Genomic DNA, 22,136 nt, shown 5'->3' with positions numbered 1-22,136 from the left:
GAGAAAATAAAGTTAGATCCCTACTTAAAATGTTTAGAAGAAAACATAAGGAAAACTTTGGGTTTGCTGATGGATTCTTACCTATGACATAAAATGCACGAGCAACAAAAGAAAAAGTAAGTTAAGGCTGGGTGCAGTGGCTCACGCCTGTAATCCCAGCACTTTGGGAGGTCAAGGCGGGTGGATCACCTGAGGTCAGGTGTTCAAGCCTGGCCAACATGGTGAAACCCCGTCTCTACTAAAACCACAAAAATTAGCCAGGCATGGTGGCATGTGCCTGTAGTCCCAGCTACTCGGGAAGCTGAGTCAGAAGAATCACTTGAACCCAGGAGGCGGAGGTTGTGGTGAGCCGAGATCGCACCACTGCACTCCAGTCTGGGCGACAGGGTAAGACTCTGTTTCAAAAACAAATTATCTATCTATCTATCTATCTACACATTAAAAATAATTCAGTGGTACCCCAAAAAGCTAAAAGAAATACTTTGATAAAAGAATTCTACTCCTAGGTTTATATCCAAAAGAACTGAATACAGGAACTTGAGCAGATAATGATATGCCAGTGTTCACTGAAGCATTATTCACAACAGCCAAAAGGTGTATGACCCAAGTGTATATCAACAGATGAATGGATTAAACAGCCAGAAAAGAAAGTCTTGATACTTGTTACAATACAGTTGAAAGCTGAAAGCATCATGCTAAGTGAAATAAGGCAGACATGAAAGGCCAAATGTTGTCACACTACTGACATGAAATATTCACAACAGTCAAAACTCACAGAGACAAACTAGATAAGGGGTTACCATAGGCTGGCAGGAGGGGGGAATGAGTAGTTACTGCTTAATAGCAATAGGGTTTCTGTTTGAAATAATGAAAATCTATTAGAAATTGTGGTAATGGCTATACAACATTGTGAGTGTAATGCCACTGGACTGTTAAAATGGCAAATTTCATGATACATATATTTTACCACACACAAAACAAGATACGTTAAAATGCTCCAGCATCATTTGCTGAATACCTGGCTGAATTTCTTTTGCATTTTTGTCAACAGTTTGTCAAATGTCTTAGCTTCGGCTGCCATAACAAAATACCACAGACTGTGTGGCTTAAACAACAGAAGTTTATTTCCTCACGGTTCCAAATGCTGGAAGTCTGAGATCAGGACGCCAGCATGGCCAGGGCCTGGTGAGGGCCTCTTCCTAGCTTGCAGAAGGCCACTGCATATTCACATCGCCTTTCCTCTATGCACATGGTGAGTGAGCAAGCTCTCACTTCCTCTTCCTGTAAGGCACTAACCTCATCTTGAGGGCCCCACTCTCATGACTTAATCTAACCCTAATTACCTGCCAAGGGCTGCATATCTCCAAACACCACCACACTTGGGGTGAGGGCTCCAACATATGAATTCTGGGGAGACATGAACATATAGTCTATATAACAGCATAATCAATGTTGAGGTTTTCCATTCTTTTCCATCATTCTATATGTATGTTCTACCAATGTGTATATTCTACCAACATCCTGTCCTCTTGATTATTATAGCTATTAATATATACATACAGTAGTCACTCCTTATCCAAGGGAAGTACATTCCAAGACACCCAGCGGAAGCCTGAAACCTCAGATAGTATTGAGCCCTATAAATACTATGTTTTTTCCTAAATATACAAACCTATGATAAAGTTTAATTTATAAATTAGGGACAGGGAAAGATTAACAAGATCATAAAATAGAAAAGTTATAACAATATGCTATCATCACTACTCTGGCACTTCAGGGCCATTATTAAGTAAAATAAGGGTTACCTGAACACATATTGTGACAATAAATAATCAAGACAGTTACTAAGTAATTAACTCATGGGTAGCATATACAGCCTGGGTATGCTAGACATAGGGTTGATTCATGTCCTGGGACAGGACAGTGCAAAATTTCATCATGCTACTCACAACAGTGTGCAACTTAAAACTGAGGAATTATTTATTTCTGAAGTTTCCTATTTAATATTTTTGAACCACAGCTGGCCTCAGGTAACTGAAACTGCAGAAAGCAAAACCACAGAAAAGGGGAGACTAATGTAATAAGCCTTAACACTGGATACAATAATTCCTACTATTCTTTTTCTCAAAACTTTTGAGAAAAATTTTCCCAAATTGTTTCAACTGTTTATGACTTTGACTGTTTATGCAAATTTTGGAATAAGTTTATTTAAAGCTGAGAAAAACCTTACTGGAATCTTGACAGGAATGCCATTAAACCTACAGATCAATTTGGAGAGAACTGGCATACTTACTAAGTTGAGTTTTCCAATCTATCAAGAGACCATGTGTCTTCATTTATTTCTATTATTTCTTTCATCAGCATTTTGTAATTTTCAGCACAAAAGTCCTATACATATTTTGTTCAATTTATACCAAACTATTTAATTTTCTATGGAATAAGTGGTATTATGTTTTTAATTTAGATTTCCATATGTTCATTGTTAGTAGAGAGAAATTGATTATATGTGTTCATCTTGGATCCTGAAACTTTTTGGAAATCATTCATTCTTTCTGGGAGGTTTACATTTTTTCTTTTTTTTTTTTTTTTTTGTTTTGTTTTTGAGACGGAGTTTCACTCTTGTTGCCCAAGCTGGTATGCAATGGCGTGATCTCGGCTCACCGTAACCTCCACCTTCCAGGTTGAAGCAATTCTCCTGCCTCCCACGTAGCTGGGATTACAGGCATGCACCACCACACCCGGCTAATTTTGTATTTTTAGTAGAGATGGGGTTTCTCCATATTGGTCAGGCTGCTCTTGAACTCCCGATCTCAGGTGATCCACCTGCCTCAGCCTCCCAAAGCGCTGGGATTATAGGCATGAGCCACTGCGCCTGGCCTGAGGTTTTTTTCTAAGATTCCTTGTAATATTCTACGTATACAATCATGTCATATGTAAATATAAAGTTTTATTTCTTCTCTACGTGTATGACTTCTATTTCACTTTCTTGCCTCATTGTGCTTGATAGAAGTTACAGTACTACAATGAATAAGAGTGGCAGGAGCAAACATCCTTGCCTTGTTCCCAGTTTTACAGGGAAAGCATTCATCTTACCAGCAAATATATTTGCTATAAATATTTTGTGCATGTTCATTCATCAAATTGAGGAAGATCCTCTCAATGTCTAGTATGGAGAGTTTTTATCATGGATGGATATTGCATTTTGTCAAATCCTTTCTCTATTATTAACTGATGTTATGTAATTTTTCTTCTTTAGCCTATGCTGGGTTAATTACATTGATCGATTTCTGAATGTTGAACCAGCCTTGCTTGTATAACTCAAATAAATCCCACTTGGTTATTATGGTGTATACTTTTTACATGACTGTTTTCTATTTGCTAGTATTTTGTTAAAGATTTTTGCTACTAAATTTATGAGAGGTATATGTCTGTAGTTGTATTATTTTTGTACTGTCTGTATGATTTTGGCATCAAAATAATTTTTTAAATGTGTTAAGAAATGTTCCCTCTTGGCCGGGTGCGGTGGCTCACACCTGTAATCCCAGCACTTTGGGAGACCAACGTGGACAGATCATGAGGTCAGGAGTTGGAGAACAGCCTGGCCAATATGGTGAAACCCCGTCTCTACTAAAAATACAGAAATTAGCCGAGTGTGGTGGCATGTGCCTGCAGTCCCAGCTACTTGGGAGGCTGACGCAGGAGAATCATCTGAACCCGGGAGGCAGAGGTTGCGGTGAGCCGAGATTACACCACTGCACTCCAGCCTGGGTGACTGAGCAAGACTCCATCTAATTAAATAAATAAAATAAATATTCCCACTTCTATTTTCTGAGGACATTGTGTAAAATCATCATTAATTCTTGTGTAAATGTTTGGTAGAATTCTCTAGTGAGGACTACAACTCTCTTGTACTTGGAAATTGGTTTTTTGGAGGTTTTTAAAATTTAAATTATTTGATTCAAATTATGTCAACCTTTATGAAAACCTATGGGTCATTCAAATTATCTATATCACCCTGACTGAGTTGTAATAGTTTGTGGTTTCTGAAGAACTGGTACATTTCTTCCATGTTGTCATTTTTTTTTTTTTTTTTTTTTGAGACAGAGTTTTGCTCTGTTGCCCAGGCTAGAGTACAATGGAGCAGTATCAGCTCACTGAAACCTCCCACTCCCTGGGTTCAAGCCATTCTCCTACCTCAGCCTCCTGAGTAGCTGGGACTACAGGCGTGCACCACCACACCAGACTAATTTTTGTATTTTTAGTAGAGACGGAGTTTCACCATGTTGGCCAGGGTGGTCACGAACTCTTGACCTCAGGTGATACACCCACCTTGGCCTCCCAAAGTGTTGGAATAACAGGCATGAGCCACCACACCTGGCCTATGTTGTCATATTTATAAACATAAAGTTGTTGACAAGATTCCCTTATTATACTGTTAAATGGATGGTGGAGTGATATTCCCTGTTTCATTCCAGATATTGATGATTTGTCATCTCATTCTATATTTTAAATCAATATTGCTAGACGTTTATCAATTTTATTGATTTTTTCCCAAAGAACCCTATGTTTCATTAGTTTTCTCTACTTTTTCCTATTTTCAATTTTACTGATTTCTGCTTCCAGTGTTATTTTCGTCCTTCTACTTAACAGAGGTTTTATTTTGCTCTTTTCTAGTTTCTTAAGGTAGAAAGTCAATTATGGGTTTGCAACCTATCGTCTTGTCTACTGTCAGCATTTAGTGCCATAAATTTCTCTATCAGCACTGCTTTAGCTACCTCCCACATATATTGATACGGTATGGTCTCATTTTCATTAAGTCTATGCATTTCTACTATTGAATTTGAGGCCCCTTCTTCACTCCAGACTTTATTTAGAAGTCTGATGTTTAATTTCTAAATGATTAGATATTTTCCTATTGTCACTCTATTACTGATTTGTAGTTTGGTTTCATTATGGCCAGAAAACATACATACTCAGAATGATTTCAATTCTTTTAAATCTGCCAAGGCTTATTTATGGCCCAGAATATGGTCTATCTTTCTGAATATTCCATGGACACTTGAGAAAAAAATTTTATTTTGCTGTTGTTGGGCACTACTCTTTTTTTTTCTTTTCTTTTTTGAGACAGAGTCTTATTCTGTAACCCAAGCTTTGTAACACAATCTTGGCTCACTGCAACCTTCGCCTCCCAGTTCAAGCGATTCTCCTACCTCAGCTTCTTAAGTAGCTGGGACTACAGGCATGCGCCACCATGCCTGGCTAATTTTTGTATTTTTAGTAGAGACAGGGTTTCACCATGTTATCCAGGCTACTCTTGAATTCCTGACCTCATGGCTAGTAATTCTACCAATTGCTAACAGTGAAGTGATGAATTTTCCAAATACAATTAAAAATGTGCTTTTCTCTTTTCAGCTCAATCAGTTTTGTTTTGTGTACTTTGAGGTTTGCTAGAGACACATTTAGGATCATTGCATTTTTGTTGGATTGATCCTTTTATCATTATATAATGTTCCTTTTGTCTAATAATTTTCTTTGCTCTGGAGTCTACTGTATTTGATATTAATAGTGTCACTCTGTTTTGATTAATGTTTGTACAGTTTATCTTTTTATATACTTTATCAACCTATGTTGTTCATTATGTTATGAGTTTCCTAAGAAAACATTTTTAGGATGGGTGGAGCAAGATGGTGGAATAGAGAACACCACCGATCATACCCACTCCCCCCGCAGGAAGACTAAGATTGGCAACTATCCACACAAAAGCAGCAGTTTCACAGGAACTAAAAGTCAGGTGAGCACTTACAGAGCATGGTTTTCACTTCATATGGCTGAAAGAGAACAGTTTGGAAGTTCCTGAAAAAACTAAAAATAGAGCTATCATATGATCCAGCAATCCCACTGCTAGGTATATGCCCAAAAGAAAAGAAATCAGTACATCAATGAGATATCTCTGCTCCCATGTTTACTGCAGCACTGTTCACAAGAGCTAAGATTTGGAATCAACCTAAGTGTCCATTCACAGATAAACAGATAAAGAAAATGTGGTACATATACACAATGGAGTACCATTCAGCCATAAAAGAGAATGAGAGATCCTGTCATATGCAACAACCTAGACGGAAATGGAAGCAGAATGTTAAATTTTGCATGTTCTCACTTATTTGTGAAAGCTAAAAATTAACATAACTGAACTCATGGAGGTGAGGTAGAAAGTAAAAGGACGGTTACCAGAGACTGGGAAAGGTAGTGGGGTGGGGTCGGGGGAAGGTGAGGATGGTTAAAGGGTAGAAAAAAACCTTTAGAAAGAATGAATAAGACCTAATATTTGCTAGCACAACAGGGTCACTATAGTCAAATTTAATTGTACATTTTGAAGTGACTAAAAGAGTATAACTGGATTGTTTATAACACAAAAGATAAATAATCACATTAGGGTAAATGTGATTATTACACATTGCATGCCTGTATCAAAACATCTGTACTTCAAAAATATATATACCTACTATGTACTCACAAAAATTAAAAATTTTAGAATTGTTTTATGTTTTTTCCACTCTATCAGTTTATATTTTAATTAGTATACTTTGATCATTTACATTTAAGGTAAATATTGCTCTGTTAGGCTGCTATTTGTTTTGTTTTCTGTTTTCCATTCATCTTTTAGATTCCATCTTGGTTTATTTATAGTGTTTCTAAGTGTATCACATTTTATAGTATTCTCAGTAGTTGTTCTAGGTATAAAAATGTACATATGTAACTTATCAGTCTATCAGACATTTTACCACTTGAAGTGAAATGCACCAAGTTTCATTCCACTTAGGCCCCTTTACTCTCCCCACTTTTAAAATATAATTGTCTTAAGTGTTCCCACTACATACAGAGCATTTTGCTCCAACCATCAAAAATGATTCTAGAAACTCATGAGAAAAATATATTTATCCCTATTTTTGCCAACCTCCAATCTTCTTTCTTGCCTGCATTCCAAGCCTTCTTGTGTTATTTCCATTCTATTTAGAGAACTTCTAGCCAATTTTTAAAGGTAGGTTTGCTAGCAACATTTTCTCTTAGCTTCCCTGTCTAATAATGCCTTTAGTTCCCCTTTATTCATGAAGATAGTTTCAAAAGATACAGATTTTTATTTGATAGTGCTTTCCTCTCAGTACTTGAGAAAACATACTACTTCCTTCCTGCTGCCGCAGTTTCAGAAGAGAAACCCACAGTCATTCTCTGTAGGGAATGTGTTGTTTCTCTCTGGCTACTTTGAAAATTTTATTATAAATCATGCTGCTATAAAGACACATGCACACGTATGTTTATAGCGGCACTATTCACAATAGCAAAGACTTGGAACCAACCCAAATGTCCAACAACAATAGACTGGATTAAGAAAATATGGCACATATATACCATGGAATACTATGCAGCCATAAAAAATGATGAGTTCATGTCCTTTGTAGGGACATGGATGAAACTGGAAACCATCATTCTCAGCAAACTATCGCAAAGCCAAAAAACCAAACACTGCATGTTCTCACTCACAGGTGAGAATTGAACAATGAGAACACATGGACACAGGAAGGGGAACATCACACACTGGGGACTGTTACGGGGTGGGGGGAGTGGGGAGGGATAGCATTAGGAGATATACCTAATGCTAAATGACGAGTTAATTGGTGCAGCACACCAACATGGCACATGTATACATATGTAACAAACCTGCACCTTGTACACATGTACCCTAAAACTTAAAGTATAATAATAATAAAATAAAATAAAATAAAATTATCACAAGCTCAAATTAAAAAAAAAAAGAAAATTTTTGTCTTTGGTTTTCAAAAATTTAATTACAGTGTGAGTTTGCCATGGACTTATTTGATGTTACTTCAGACTCGGGAATGTGTAGTTTTATATCTTTTCGCTAAATTTGAGAAGGTCCAGCCATTACTTCTTCAAATACTTTAAACACCTCTTTCCCCTCCTTCTGATGTTACAAATGTTAGTTCTTTTGTTATTGCCCCACTTTCCAAATACTGAGAGAACCAAACTACATCCCATTCCCTCCTGCCTTCCGGCTCTGTCTAAGCTACCACAATCACTCATAAGGAAAACTACCAAGGCCTTTAATGAGCTCTCTATGCCCTATGCCATGCCCAATATTTTCTCTACAGAGGTGAGAAAGATCTTATAGAAATATAAATCAGATGTTGCTCATCTGCTGAAAATCTACCACTAAATTAAAAATAAAATTAACTGAATAAGGCTTATGATGGGCTCACCTTTGGACTCTAGCTGTCTCCCTCACCTCACCTCCTGCCCTTCCTCCAATCAACCCCTCCCTTCAGCCACTGTGACTTTTTGGTTATTCCTGAAACCCACCAACCACATTCCTGCCCAAGGCTAGCAGCTGCTATTACCCCTGCTGAAAAGGGTCAGAATCCTCATGGCTCACACAGTCATTTCATTCAAATCTCTGCTCTAATGTTGACCTCATTAAGGTTTCCCCTGACTGTTCTTTAAAGTACCACATTCAGCCAATCTAACTTGCTTTAATTTCTTTCATAGTCTTTAAAACCACAGAACATTTAATATACATATACATATAGGTATACATAATATACTTAGAGGCATAATTTATTTTTTTATATTTATTTACTTATTTTTGAGACAAAGTCTCACTCTGTTGCTCAGGCTGGAGTGCAGTGGCACAGTCTCAGCTCACTGCAACCTCTGCCTCCTGGGTTCAAGTGATTCTCCTGCCTCAGCCTCCCAGTTAGCTGGGATTACAGGCACCTGCCACCACACCCAGCTAATTTAGTATTTTTAGTACAGACGGGGTTTCACCATGTTGGCCAGGCTGTTGTGGAACTCCTGACCTCAAGTGATCTGCCTGCCTCGACCTGTGCTGGGATTACAGGTGTGAGCTACCACACCCAGCCTAATGTTTTTCATCATTATATCCTCAGCACACAGCAAGTATGCAAACATTATTTGCTGAGTTTAAAAATGAGTGTATAAAAAATTCTGACAACAGAATAAACACAAAACAAGGGAGGCAAGGTAGGACACTGAAAGTGCTTGGAGAAAAATGATAACCAAGAAAAACAACAGTAAAGTTGAGGTGGGCAAAGACTGAACTATTGGCAGGTGTAAGAATAGTAAACATTCAAAAAACGATTCAAAAAGGAGGAATTTTTTGTGAGTAGTATCTGGAAGTTTGATTTAGGAATCAATATTCTCCATCACTTCCAGAGGTTAGGATCCCTATGGAGATGTTCTTGAAAAATCTTCCAAAGTTGCCAAACCCTGAATTAACTACTGGGAAACAACAAATCCCCTGATGTGAATCTGTGCAGTACATATTAACTCACCTGGAAAGCTTTGGCTTGGGAATTCTTCCTCCTGTTTCCATGGCTCTTCTCCTTGTTGCAGCCTGAAGATCACCTCTGGTTTGTGAACACAATACCCTGTTAACAGGAAATAATTTAGGATTTGGACCAAGCAGTCTAGACTTCAGGCCTTTGAAGCAGGAAGAAGCTTCTGGGGCTGCTTCGAGTTGCCAGTGGAACATTTTCACTGGAGAGGTGAACACAAGTATCTTCTGGTACTCAGAGGTGATCAATCAACACTGACTCCTGAAGCCTAACCTTAAATATCATTAAACTATACAGACTGCCCATACGCTTCATAATCAAAAGAATAAACAAATGCTATTTAGAATGATACAGTGAACAGACCTTACCCACTGAGACAAGGTTGCTGTAGTTCTCCAGCATCACATCTCTATACAGAGCCCTCTGACTAGGGTCCAGGTGCTGCCACTCCTCCTGGGTGAAGCCCACAGTCACATCTTTAAATGATACTGACTCCTGGGACTTCTGTTCTACCTGAAACATTCAGAATTAGGTGGCATGAAAAAAGAAGTATGGGCTAATCCTTACCATGATTATTATTCACAGAATATTGTTTTGTTTTATACTTTTAGGGAAAAAGAAATCATAACAGAAATATTCTGCCATTAATGCATTAAGATATTAATTCATGCAAAAGAAATTATCAAGTTCCTACAAAGTACCTGGAACTATCATCACTGCTGGAAATACTAAGATTAATAAAAATCTTCCTGTGTTCAAAGAACACACAGAGTGGTAAGAAAATATGTGTGGTAATATGTTACAAGTACTAAGGTGAAAGTACAAACACAGTAGACTAACATTAGGAGCAAAGTTGGCTCTGTTTTGAGCTTAACTGAGGAAGTACAGCTGTTGGTTGAATTATGAAAAACACTCTATTACGTTCTTCATAAGCATAGGGCCATGATACAAGCAAAGGTGAGGGCCTCCAACACACTGCAGACATCAACAAAATGGCAGACAGCACAGGAGATGGCCTGGTGCTGTCTTGAGAAAAAAAGCCAAGGAAATGGGTTATAGAGTAATTTTAGACCAATGGTCTCCAAAGTATTTGATCATTTACCATTTTCAAGAATATTACTGAGAACTACAGATTTATATTTACAAATCACAGAAATAAATTGTCAGTACATTCATTATGAATTCTAATTTAACTCTCATTTGGATTTAAAAATGTAGAAAAAGAGCCTGACATTTTCTTCATCGCAATACATATTCTGGGTTCTAATCCTTTAATTCAGAGACAATAATAAGGATGTGTAGAAAATGGAAAGATTTTGGAACCATTATATTTGAAACCTCTGTGGAGTACAGCGGAGAAGACATCCAATTGGATTGTTCTGGATATCCTCTAGGGCACATCTTTTAGGGATCACTGCTGTGAAAATGGGAGAGCCAAAGATGAGATATGAGCATATACTGAAATTACAGGACCAGGTTTCGTTTACAGAACCAATTCTACTGAGAACGACAAAGGACAAAACAACATTTACATAAACTACTGTAGAAGAAACCAGGATGCAAATAGGGCACGGATAATAGGAGGCAAGAACAACAAAATGTGGTCACCAATTCATTAAGAAAAAAAATGTTTCCTCTGGCTATCTCCATGCACAGCTGCCCAGATACTAGGGCCACAATGTAAACCAGGAAAGTTAGGGCTATATAGGTTGGACACAGTATTCTAGTAAGAAACATCCTAATTATATTAAATTTGAAGCATAGGCTTGGCATGGTGGCTCACACCTGTAATCTCAGCACTTTGGGAGGCTGAGGTGGGTGGATCACCTGAGCTCAGGAGTTAAGAGACCAGCCTGACAAAAATGGTGAAACCCCATCTCTACTAAAAATACAAAAAATTAGCCAGGCGTGTTGGCGGGTGTCTGTAATCCCAGCTGAGACACCCGCTGAGACACCAGGCTGAGACAGGAGAATCCCTTTAACCTGGGAGGCAGACGTTGCAGTGAGCCAAGGTCAGCACCACTACACTCCAGCCTGGGTAACAAGAGCAAAACTCCAACTCAAAAAAAAATGAAGCATAATATGAAGATCAAGAATGAAACAAGGACTACAAAGACATTTATAATATAGTGGTGTTCAAAGCCATCAAGAGAAAATCAGAAGGTTGTCAGAAAACTGGGGAAAGAAAATAATCAAGAATGGAATTGGAGGCCAGGCACAGTGGCTCACATCTATAATCCTAGTACTTTGGGAGGTCAAGGCAGGTGGCTCACTTGAGGTCAGGAGTTCAAGACCAGCCTGGCCAACATGGCAAAACCGTGTCTCTACTAAAAATACAAAAACATTAGCCAGGTGTGGTGGCAGGTGCCTGTAATTCCAATTCCTCGGGAGGCTGAGGCAGGAGAATCACTTGAACCCGGGAGGTGGAGGTTGCATAAGCTGAGATCGTACCACTGCACTCCAGCCTGGGCGACTCTGTCTCAAAAAAAAAGGTAAGTAATTCTTCCCAAATTTATATATAGGTTCAATTCAACCCCAAAGAAAGTCTCAGCAAGTTATTTTATTAATACTAACAATATTTGTATGGAAATGCAAGGAACTAGGAAGAGCCAGGATCTTGCTGAAGAAAAAATGTGTTAAACCAGCTACTAGACGCTAAGATGTTTCACCAAGTGTGGTACTGGCACAACCAACCAACAGAACATAGCCCAAAAAACACACAGACATATATGTACACATAATTGATGACAAATATCACAATGTAAAACAGTGGGGAAAGGATGGTGTTTTCAAAAATAATTCTACATTAACCACATGAAAAAAGGAATCTGACATCTACCTCATACAGAAGTAGACACTCATTCCAATGAAAGAGATGTAAATGTGAATGCCAAAACAAGAAATATTTTAAAAGGTAACAAGAGTATCTTCATAACCTTGAAGTAGGAAAAGTCATCTAGACTAGTACACACCAGCAACAAATAAACGTAATAAACTAATCTAGGGATTGGTAAACTTCTTCTGTAAAAAATCAGACATTAAATATTTGGCCAGGCACGGTGGCTCACACCTGTAATCCCAGTGCTTTGGGAGGCCAAGGCAGGCGGATCACTTGAGGCCAGGAGTTTGAGACCAGCCTGGCCAAGTAAAACCCTGTCTCTACTAAAATACAAAATTAGCCAGGTGTGATGGCGCGTGCCTGTAATTTCAGCTACTTGGGAGACTTAGCCAGGAGAATCCCTTGGGCCCTGAAGGCAGAGGCTGCAGTGAGCCAAGATCGCACACTGCACCCTAGCCTGGGTGACAGTGAGACTCTCTCCAAAAAAAAAAAAAAAAAAAAAAAAAAAATCAGACATCATTAAATTTGGGGCTTTGCAGGCCAAAATGTTCCTGTCACAACTATTCAACTCTGCCACTGAAGCCAGATACTGTGGCTTATATGTAAATGAATGAATGAGCAGGGAGGTGTCAGGATTGTGAGGGGGACAAGACGGCAGCTTCAGGAGTGCTGGCAATGTTTGTTTTGACCTGTGTATTCATTATTTGTGCCACGGATTTGTAATAATTCATTAAGTTCTATATTTAAAATTTAGGGGGTTGTGTATCTATCTGCTACACATGTAGAAATAAGATTCATTAAAAATTAAAATACACAATCCTAGCACTTTGGGAGGCCAAGGTGGGGGATCACGAGGTCAGGAGACTGAGACCAGCCTGGCCAACATGGTGAAACCCCGTCTCTACTAAAAATACAAAAATTAGCTGGGTATGGTGGTGCGTGCCTATAATCCCAGCTACTCGGGAGGTTGAGGCAGGAGAATCACTTTAACCAAGGAGTCGAGGCAGGAGAATCACTTGAACCAGGGAGTCGGAGGTTGCAGTGAGCCAAGATCACACCACTGTGCTACAGCCTGGTGACAGAGCAAGACTCTGTATCAAAAAAAATAATAATAATAAAATACATTTTAATTTACCGGCTGGGTGCAGTGGCTCACGCCTGTAATCCCAGCACTTTGGGAGGCTGAGGAGAGCAGATCACGAGGTCAAGATATCAAGACCATCCTGGCCAACACGGTAAAACCCCGTCTCTACTAAAAATACAAAAATTAGCCAGGTGTGGTGGCGCATGCCTGTAGTCCCAGCTACTCGGGAGGCTGAGGCAAGAGAATCGCTTGAACCCGGGAGGCAGAAGTTTCAGTGAGCCAAGATCGCGCCACTGTACTCCAGAATGGCAAGAGAGCAAGATTCCGTCTCAAAAAAATAAAAAAATTAAAATTAAAATACATTTTAATTTACTGATCAAACACTACATCCAAAAGAAAACTGGAACCTGTGTGAAATAAAAATTAAAAAAGCAGTTTGACTCAATAGGCTGCACTCATTTCAGGGTTATCACTGGAAGCTTATTCACTATGGGTCCCTATGTTATGACCAAAAAAGGTATCTGCCAGGAAGTCTTTGTGCCTTCAGAGGAGTCAGTCTGTCTGTATCCAGTGTCTTCCTTTCTGCCATGGTTGTTGGAAACGTAAGAAACATACGAAGCTCAACTTATTGACTCTAACTTGGCCCTGCTATTGATCTGTTACTTTATATTTTCTGGGAAGTTCAATTTTTATCTATTACTAACTTCTCATCTTAACATATTGACTCTTGGCCAGACACGGTGCCTCACGCTTGTAATCCCAGCACTTTGGGAGACCAAGGCGGGCGGATTGACTGAGCTCAGGAGTTTGCGACCAGCCTAGGCAACACGGTGAAACCCTGTCTCTATTAAAACGCAAAAAATTAGCCAGGCGTGGCAGCATGCGCCTGCAGTCCCAGCTACTCGGGGGGCTGAGGCAGGAGAATTGCTTGAACCCGGGAGGCAGAGGTTGCAGTGAACCGAGATGGGGACATTGTACTCCAGCCTGGGTGACAGAGTGAGACTCCGTCTCACAAAAAAAAAAAAAAAAAAAAAACAAACACCATATCGACTCTTACAAATCTCACAAAGTCCACTGCAAAATAAAGTAGGGAATTAATAAACAACTTACCTTGTTCATTTTGTTCTGTTCTTGGAAAGACGGAGACAACTCTGAAGATACAGCTGAGTTAGAAAAAGAGGAATGGGGTCATGAAAGATTTGGCCTGCCTGGCAACTCCTGGATTCTTCCGCCCTAAGAAGCCATACACACCCACTAGGTAAAATGCTTCCTCTGGGAGAGTATCAATGTCCTCTGACACTTTGGAATAGGGGGTAGAAATGGTGGAAGAACACTTCGGAATAGGCGGTAGAAATGGTGAAAGAATAACTCCAACATAATTATGTAGCTCTTGGGCACAAGATTTTTTACCGGGTGAAAGTAAATATTTGCTTCCTAAGGATTTCAATCTCCCTCGGTGTTCACAAAAAAAAGTATAATGACAATATTGGCCAAACAAGTTAACAATATATTTAATGAAGGAACATTAACACTAAAACCATTGTAAAAAATAGGACTAAGCTATCTATTTTCCCAGTAATGTTACTTAACCTCTGGTGAGTGACTCCACAGAAAGCCATAAGCGGCAGTGCTTCAAAGAAAAAATCAGTTTTAATTTCTTCATCTAACTTTGTTGCTATTTCTCAAAGGGATATTTTAAACTTGCTTTGATGTGTGTGGAAAAGTAGACAGTACTGGCTTAGGGGTCAGGAGATGTGACTTAGTCTTCCCTACTAACTGTGATCCTGAACAAGTCAGTGACCTTAACAAACAAAAAAACAAAAAAAATCTTTTTCTTCTAACAAATGAGGCAAAATTAGGTAATTCTTTGTTTTTGTTTTTTTTTGAGACGGAGTTTCGCTCTTGTTGCCCAGTCTGGAGTGCAATAGTGCGATCTTGGCTACCTGTAACCTCCGCCTCCCGGGTTCAAGCAATTTTCCGCCTCAGTAGCTGGGATTACAGGCATGCGCCACCACGCCCGGCTACTTTTCGTATTTTTAGTAGAGACGGGGTTTCACCATGTTGGTCAGGCTGGTCTCGAATTTCTGACCTCAGGTGATCCACCCGCCTCGGCCTCCCAAAGTGCTGGGATTACAGGCGAGAGCCACCGCGCCAGGCCAAAATTAGGTAATTCTTGAAGATCTTTCCTGAGTGCAAGATCAAGTCAGGACAGAGGAACAGCAAATACCAAGATGCAGTGATGGACCTGACTGGAGGTCAGTTCGGAACCTAAAGAGGATGAATGCAATACGTGCAACCGAGTCTGCCGGTCTGGCGGGCGACTGCACCCGCCTTTCCCCGCCCACGTACCGCGGCGCCCTAGCACACGCGCACAGGCTAGACAAGAGAACTGCCCCTCCCGCAAGGCTCAGCGCGCGGACTGCGCAAGCGCACATGCCCTCCTCCGCGGCCCCCACAAATGGGGCGACACACGCTGCGTACCCTGCTCCGTACAGAGGCCGCGCCTTTGAGGAACCGGCCTAGCGTCGTGGCCCACACGCTGCAGCCCCGCCGTCCCCGCCTTCCCCTATGAGGTCCCCGGGCCTCCTCCCCACCACTTGGTACCGGCCCCCTGCCGCCCGCCCCAGGAGTCGCGCGGGGCTCCCTCTCTCTCCCTGCCCAACCCACTGGGGCTTACCCCACTCCCTCGTCGGGTTGCATTCGCCATAGAAAAGCGCGTAGACCCTTGAAATCCCGGGACCGCCTCCCACGCAAAACCTGAGAAAAACAAAAGGAAAGGCGGAAACGCAGACGTAGCCGGCGGACGAGGCATGCGCAGAGCCCACGCGCACAGCTTGATGCTGTTGGCGCCCTACCTGGAAACTACCTTTCCCGTGAGGCCGGGCGAGCAGCCCTTCGGATTGGTAGAGAAGTGCCCCGCTAGGCAGTGGGCAGATGCGGTCTGAGTTGGTGCTGGAACTGCCTGCAGCCCTGGCTTTCCCCGGGGCACTCCAAAGGGATATACTGCGGGGGAGGTCTGTGGGCAGTTTAGACGCAGACGCTCAAGGAAAGGACCGCTGCGTGTCATTTTCCGTTTAAATGTTAGGAAATAGATCTCGTCCATACAGTTTAAAAGACTTTCATGCTATCAGCGGTTCTTTGGGAGCGGGGGAAAAAAGGGGAAGGTGCGGCCGGAAAGCTACTTCATCAAAATGGTTAAAGCAATAAACGGAAATTGTAGCTCAGTAAGGAACTAGACATAATCTGAAAGAAGAAAATAAATGTCACGTATGATTTCCTCTGTGACATTAAAATTGCTTGACTAAATGGAAATACTTTTAGTCTATCTGTACCTTTCTTAGGAAGACAAAATTCCTAAAAGAATATCAACAAATTTTTGTTATGTATTTTTTCTCTTTGATCTTTAGTGTATTCTGTACTTCACAAAAGCATTCTCAACTTTATCTAGAATAAGTAAAAACCCAAATGAACAGCCAGTATACATTTTAAAAAGCAGGAAAAAAATGCCTAAGGAATATCTGTATCTATCTACATCTATCTATATAATATTGCTCTATTCAAAGTAGTTTGGCACCTGCTCCATGGAAATAAGACAGCTTAAGAGTATTCTTTAATGTGTAGTAGATACAGCATTTCAAAACAGTGAGGGAAAGAATGGAGTATTCCAAAGAGCATGTCATTCCGAGCAATTTGGAATGTAGAGATATACATAGATCACACATGATAAAATCTCACATGTATACAATACTTAAACATTTAAACCACTAAAAGAGTAAAAATTTTTGAAAATTGACAAGTGGACCAGGCACAGTGGCCCACACCTGTAACCCCAGCACTTTGGGAGGCGGAGGCAGGAGGACCACTTGATCCTTGGAGTTCAAGACCAGCCTGGGCACTATAGTGGGACCCCCATCTCTACAAAAAACTAAAAATAACAATTAGCCTGGCATGTAGGCAGGCACCTGTGATCCCAGCTACTCAGGAGGCTGAGGTTGGAGGATCACTTGAGCCCCGGGCTGCAGTAAGCCATCATGGCACCACTGCACTCCAGCATGGGTGACAAAGTGAGACCTTGTCTCAAAAAAAACAACAAGGGATGTGATGCCAAAGACAGAAACTATAAATTTAATATCAGTCACATTTTATAATAGAGAAAAATAAGCAACTCCATTCCAGCAAAACTTTTTAAGTCCATTATGAGAATTGAAAGTAATGCAAATATGGCCAGGCGTGGTGGCTCACGCCTGTAATCCCAGCATTTTGGGAGGCTGAGGCGGGTAGATCATGAGGTCAAGAGATCGAGACTATCCTGCCCAACATGGTGAAACCCCTTCTGTACTAAAAATACAAAAATTAGGTGGGGCGTTGTGGTGCACACCTGTAGTCTCAGCTACTCAGGAGGCTGAGGCAGGAGAATCGTTTGAACCCAGGATGGGGAGGTTGCAGTGAGCCAAGATTGCGCTACTGCACTCCAACCTGGTGACAGAGCGACACTGCGTCTCAAAAAAAAAAAAAAAGAAAGAAATGCAAATATTTGAGTAAAAATACGTGAAACATTTATTGAAATTTACATTTTTTAATTTATGCTTTATATACTGAAAAGTTCTTTATTTGATGCATAATTTTATGAGTTTTGACAATGCATAGATTTGTGTAACCACCACTACAAGCAAGACACAAAATTGTTTCATCTCTGTCAATAAAATTCCTCCATGCTACCTTTTTAAAGTCAGATTCTCTCACCACTCTTAGCCTCTTGCAACCGCTATCTATTCTTTGGGCCTATATGTTTGCCTTTTTTAGGATATTATATAAATGGAATCACACAGTATGTAGTTGTTGAATCTGGTATCTCTTAACACAATGCAATTGAGATCCTTCTGTGTTGTTTTGTGTACCAATACCTCTGTTTGCTTTTCCTGCTGTTAGAAACAAGTGCCCGGTGCCACAGAGAAAACCAGCGCGTAGGCAGAAAATTCCTCAGCAAGGCAAATTTACTTCTGCAGAAGGGTGCAGCTTGTGCCAGTCACGATCACAAGAGTACACTGAGAGGGGTAGGGCAGGGGATTTTATCCCTGATACAGTTCCTAGCACTTCTGTGTCCCTTCCCCATTGGCTGGGGTTGGACCTCACAGTCTAAGCTAACTCTATTGGCTAAGGTTTAAAATTGAATAGGGTCTATTAGGCGGGAAGGAAGGAGGACTGTCCATTACTAGGTGGGAAGGCATATCTGGACTTGTCTGGGCACGGCAAAGGTGGGAAGTCATATCTGGACTTGTCTGTGCACAGCAAAGGCAGGAAGGTTGTTTACAGAACAGGTAGCTAGGAGACAAGGAAGTACAAGGAAGTTGGTCTTAAGCAACAAAGAACAGGGAACTTAAGCTTTTTGAAGAAGAATTTATCATCTCTGACATTGCTGACTCCTATTTCTTGGTACGGATTTACCAGTTTCCTTATCCATTCCCCAGTCCAGGGATATGCTAGTTGTTTCCAACTGGGGGAAATTATAAATAAATAAAATATTTTTAAATTTAAGATTTGAAAAGATTGAAAAAAACACTAATATACACCTATGGTATGGGCTTGGGGAAATGTTTATTCCCAGTGTATTAGTCATGATTCTCAAGAGAAACAGAACCAATAGGAGGGAGTAAGGCAGAAAGAGACATTGGTGGTGAGAAATTGGTTCACATGATTATGGAGGCTAAGAAGTCCCACAGTCTGTCATTTGCAAGCTAGAGATCCAGGAATGCTGGTGGTGTAATTCTGGTATGAGTCCAGAGGCCTGAGAACCAGGGAAGCCAATGGTGTAAATCCCAGTCTAAGGACAGGAGAGGATGAGATGAAATGTCCCAACTCAACAATGAGGCAGAAAATATGGGTGAATTCCTCCTTCCTCTGCCTTGTGTTCTATCCAGACCCTCAGTGGATTGAATCATGTCCATACACATAAGGAGGGCAATCTGCTTTACTGAGTCCACTGATTCAAATGCTAATCTAATCTGTAAACACCCTCACAGATGCACCCATAAGTAATGTTTAATCTGGACACCCTGTGACCAAGTCAAGTTTACCATCACAGCTATTCTTTTTTTTTTTTTTTTTTTTTTTGAGACAGAGTTTCACTCTTGTTGCCCAGGCTGGAGTGCAATGGCATGATCTTGGCTCACTGCAACCTCCACCTCCCGGGTTCAAGTGAGTCTCCTGCCTCCACCTCCTGAGTAGCTGGGATTACAGGCATGCGCTACCATGCCCGGCTAATTTTTTGTATTTTTACTAGAGATGGGGTTTCTCCATGTTGTTCAGGCTGGTCTTGAACTCCCGACCTCAGGTGACCCACCAGCCTCTGCTTCCCAAAGTGCTGGGATTACAGGCATGAGCCACCACACCTGGCCACGGCTATTCATTTTTATTGTGAATTTGATTAACTCTGTCTGATTTTTTGCCTCTCATTTTTTCTGTTTTTGTACCTTTTTCCCTTTTATATTTAGTTGACACCTAATAATTGTGAATATTTAGGGGATATAGACTGATATTACAGTCAATCATATTTACTCTACAGGGCTGTGGAACACCAGAGCTCATTTCTTCTATCTAGCTGTAATTTTGTGTTCATGTACCAAACTTTCCCCATCCTTCCCTCCCCACTATCCCCTCACTCTCTAATGCCCATAATTCTACTCACTACTTCTATGAGCCCCAATTTTTTTAGCTCCCAAATATAAGTGAAAATGTGCAGTAATTATCTTTCTGTGTCTGACTTATTTCACTTAATGACATCCAGGCCCATCCATGTTGTTGCAAATGACAGGATTTCATTTTTATAGCATAATAATATTCCACTGTGTTTATATACCATATTTTCTTTTTCCGTTCATCTGTTGGTGAACATTTAGGTTGATATTATATCTTGGCTATTGTGAATAGTGCTGCTATAAACACAGGAGTGCAGGTATCCCTTAGAAATATGGATTTCCCTTCCTTTGCATATGTGCCCAAGCAGTGTGATTGTTGGATTGTATGGTAGTTCTATTTCATTTTTTGAGAAACCTCCACATTGTTTTCTATAATGGTTGTACTAATTTACATTCCCACCAATAGTGTCTAAGAGTTCCCTTTTCTGTGCATCCTTACCAGCACTTATTTTTTATATTTTTTATAATAGACATTCTAACGAGGGTGAGATGATGCCTCATTGTGATTTTGATTGGCATTTCCCTGATGATTAGTGATGTTGGACATTTTTCATATACTTATTTGCCATTTGTATGTCTTCTTTTAAGAAATATCTATTCAGATCCTTTGCCCACATTTTAATCAGATTACTTGTTTTTGTTTTTGTTTTTGCTGTCAAGTTTTTTGAGTTATTTGTATATTCTGGATATTAGTCCCTTTTGGATAAATAGTTTGCAAGTATTCTCTACTGTTCTACAGGTTGTCTCTTCACTCTCATAATTGTTTCCTTTGCTGTGCAACTTTTTAGTTTAATACAGTCCCATTTCTTTTTGTTGTTGTTGTCTGTGCTTTTATTTATTTGTTTGTTTATTTATTTTGAGACATGCTGTCACCCTGTTGCACAGGCTGGAATGCAATGGTGTGATTATAGCTCACTAAAGCCTCTACCTCCTGGGCTCAAGTGATCCTCCTGCCTCAGCCTCCCAAGCAGCTGGGATTACAGGTGCCCACCACCATGCCTGGCTAAACTTTGTATTTTTAGTAGAGATGGGGTTTCACCATGTTGCACAGGCTGGTCTCGAACTCCTGTGCTCAGGAATCTGCCCACCTCACCTTCCCAAAGTGCTAGGATTACAGGTGTATGCCACTGTGCCTGGCCTGTCTGTGATTTTTTTTTTTTTTTTGAGATGGAATTTTGCTCTGTTGCCAGGCTGGAGTGCATTGGCATGAACTCGGCTCACTGAAATCTCCACCTCCCAGGTTCAAGCAATTCTCCTGCCTCAGCCTCCCAAGTAGCTGGAATTACAGGTGTGTACCACCACACCCAGCTAATTTGTGTGTGTGTGTGTGTGTGTGTGTGTGTGTGTGTGTGTATTTTTAGTAGAGATAGGGTTTCACCATGTTGGCCTCAATCTCTTGACCTCATGATCCACCCACTTCGGCCTCCCAAAGTGCTGAGAGTGAGTCACCATGCCTGGCCCTGTCTGTGCTTTTGTTTTTTTGTTTTGTTTTGTTTTGTTTTGTTTTGAGATGGAGTCTCGCTCAGTTGCCCAGGCTGAGTGCAGTGGCCCAATCTCAGCTCACTGCAAGCTCCGCCTTCTGGGTTCATGTCATTCTCCTGCATCAGCCTCCCAAGTAGCAGGGACTACAGGCGCCCACCACTATGCCTGGCTAATTTTTTTGTATTTTTAGTAGAGACGGGGTTTCACCATGTTAGCCACGATGGTCTCGATCTCTTGACCTCCCAATCCACCCGTCTCAGCTTCCCAAAGTGCTGGGATTACGGGTATGAGCCACCACGCCTGGCCCCTGTCTGTGCTTTTTAAATCTTAGTCATAAAATTTTTGCCTAGACCAATGCCCTGAAGAGTTTTCTCTAGGTTTTCTTCTAGTATTTTTACAATTTTTGGTCTTATGTTTAAGTCTTTAATCCATTTTGAGTTGATTTTTGTACATGGTGATAGGTAGGGATCAAGTTTTGTTTTTCTGCATATGGATATGCAGTTTTCCCAGCACAATTTATTGAGCAGGGGGCCCTTTACACAATGTACATTCTTGGCAAGAACCTCATTTTAATTAAACTTTAAAGGACTTATAATATTGTAATTCCACTTATATAACTTTATAATAATAAAATAAATTATTGTTGATTTGTGCAAGTATATTTA

The 22,136-nt window shown here is 40.5% G+C and overlaps 1 protein-coding gene across 21 annotated transcripts in view, besides 1 other annotated feature; it reads right to left on the bottom strand.

Moving 5' to 3' along the window:
- Nucleotides 1-16,266, bottom strand: part of ZNF33A (zinc finger protein 33A) — a 57,346-nt gene extending 41,080 nt beyond the window's left edge. For 9 of the 21 annotated variants that reach the window (NR_136709.2, NR_136710.2, NM_001278171.2 and 6 more), the window contains exons 1-4: nt 15,972-16,080; nt 14,405-14,457; nt 9,740-9,884; nt 9,369-9,464 (exon numbers count right to left, since the gene is read on the bottom strand). Coding sequence is in view for 12 of the 21 variants with exons in the window: in NM_006954.2 (NP_008885.1) it covers nt 9,369-9,464; nt 9,740-9,884; nt 14,405-14,413 (250 nt within the window). In the remaining 9 variants the exon portion in view is untranslated. Of the gene's footprint in view, nt 1-1,343; nt 1,408-9,368; nt 9,465-9,734; nt 9,885-10,709; nt 10,789-14,404; nt 14,458-15,971; nt 16,106-16,149 lie in introns of those variants that run through there. The other 12 variants (XM_011519650.3, XM_011519651.3, NM_001324177.2 and 9 more) reach the window with 9 other exon arrangements.
- Nucleotides 15,378-15,557: an enhancer, noted in NCBI's record as "active region_3273". NCBI's record gives its function as "activates an Ori minimal core promoter by ATAC-STARR-seq in GM12878 lymphoblastoid cells {active_cell/tissue: GM12878}" and the evidence as "EXISTENCE:reporter gene assay evidence [ECO:0000049][PMID:35858748]".
- Nucleotides 16,267-22,136: the final 5,870 nt, after the last annotated feature.

Source organism: Homo sapiens, chromosome 10 (assembly GCF_000001405.40).
Source record: "Homo sapiens chromosome 10, GRCh38.p14 Primary Assembly".
Classification (NCBI taxonomy): domain Eukaryota; kingdom Metazoa; phylum Chordata; class Mammalia; order Primates; family Hominidae; genus Homo; species Homo sapiens.
This window is presented reverse-complemented; position numbering and strand designations above follow the sequence as displayed.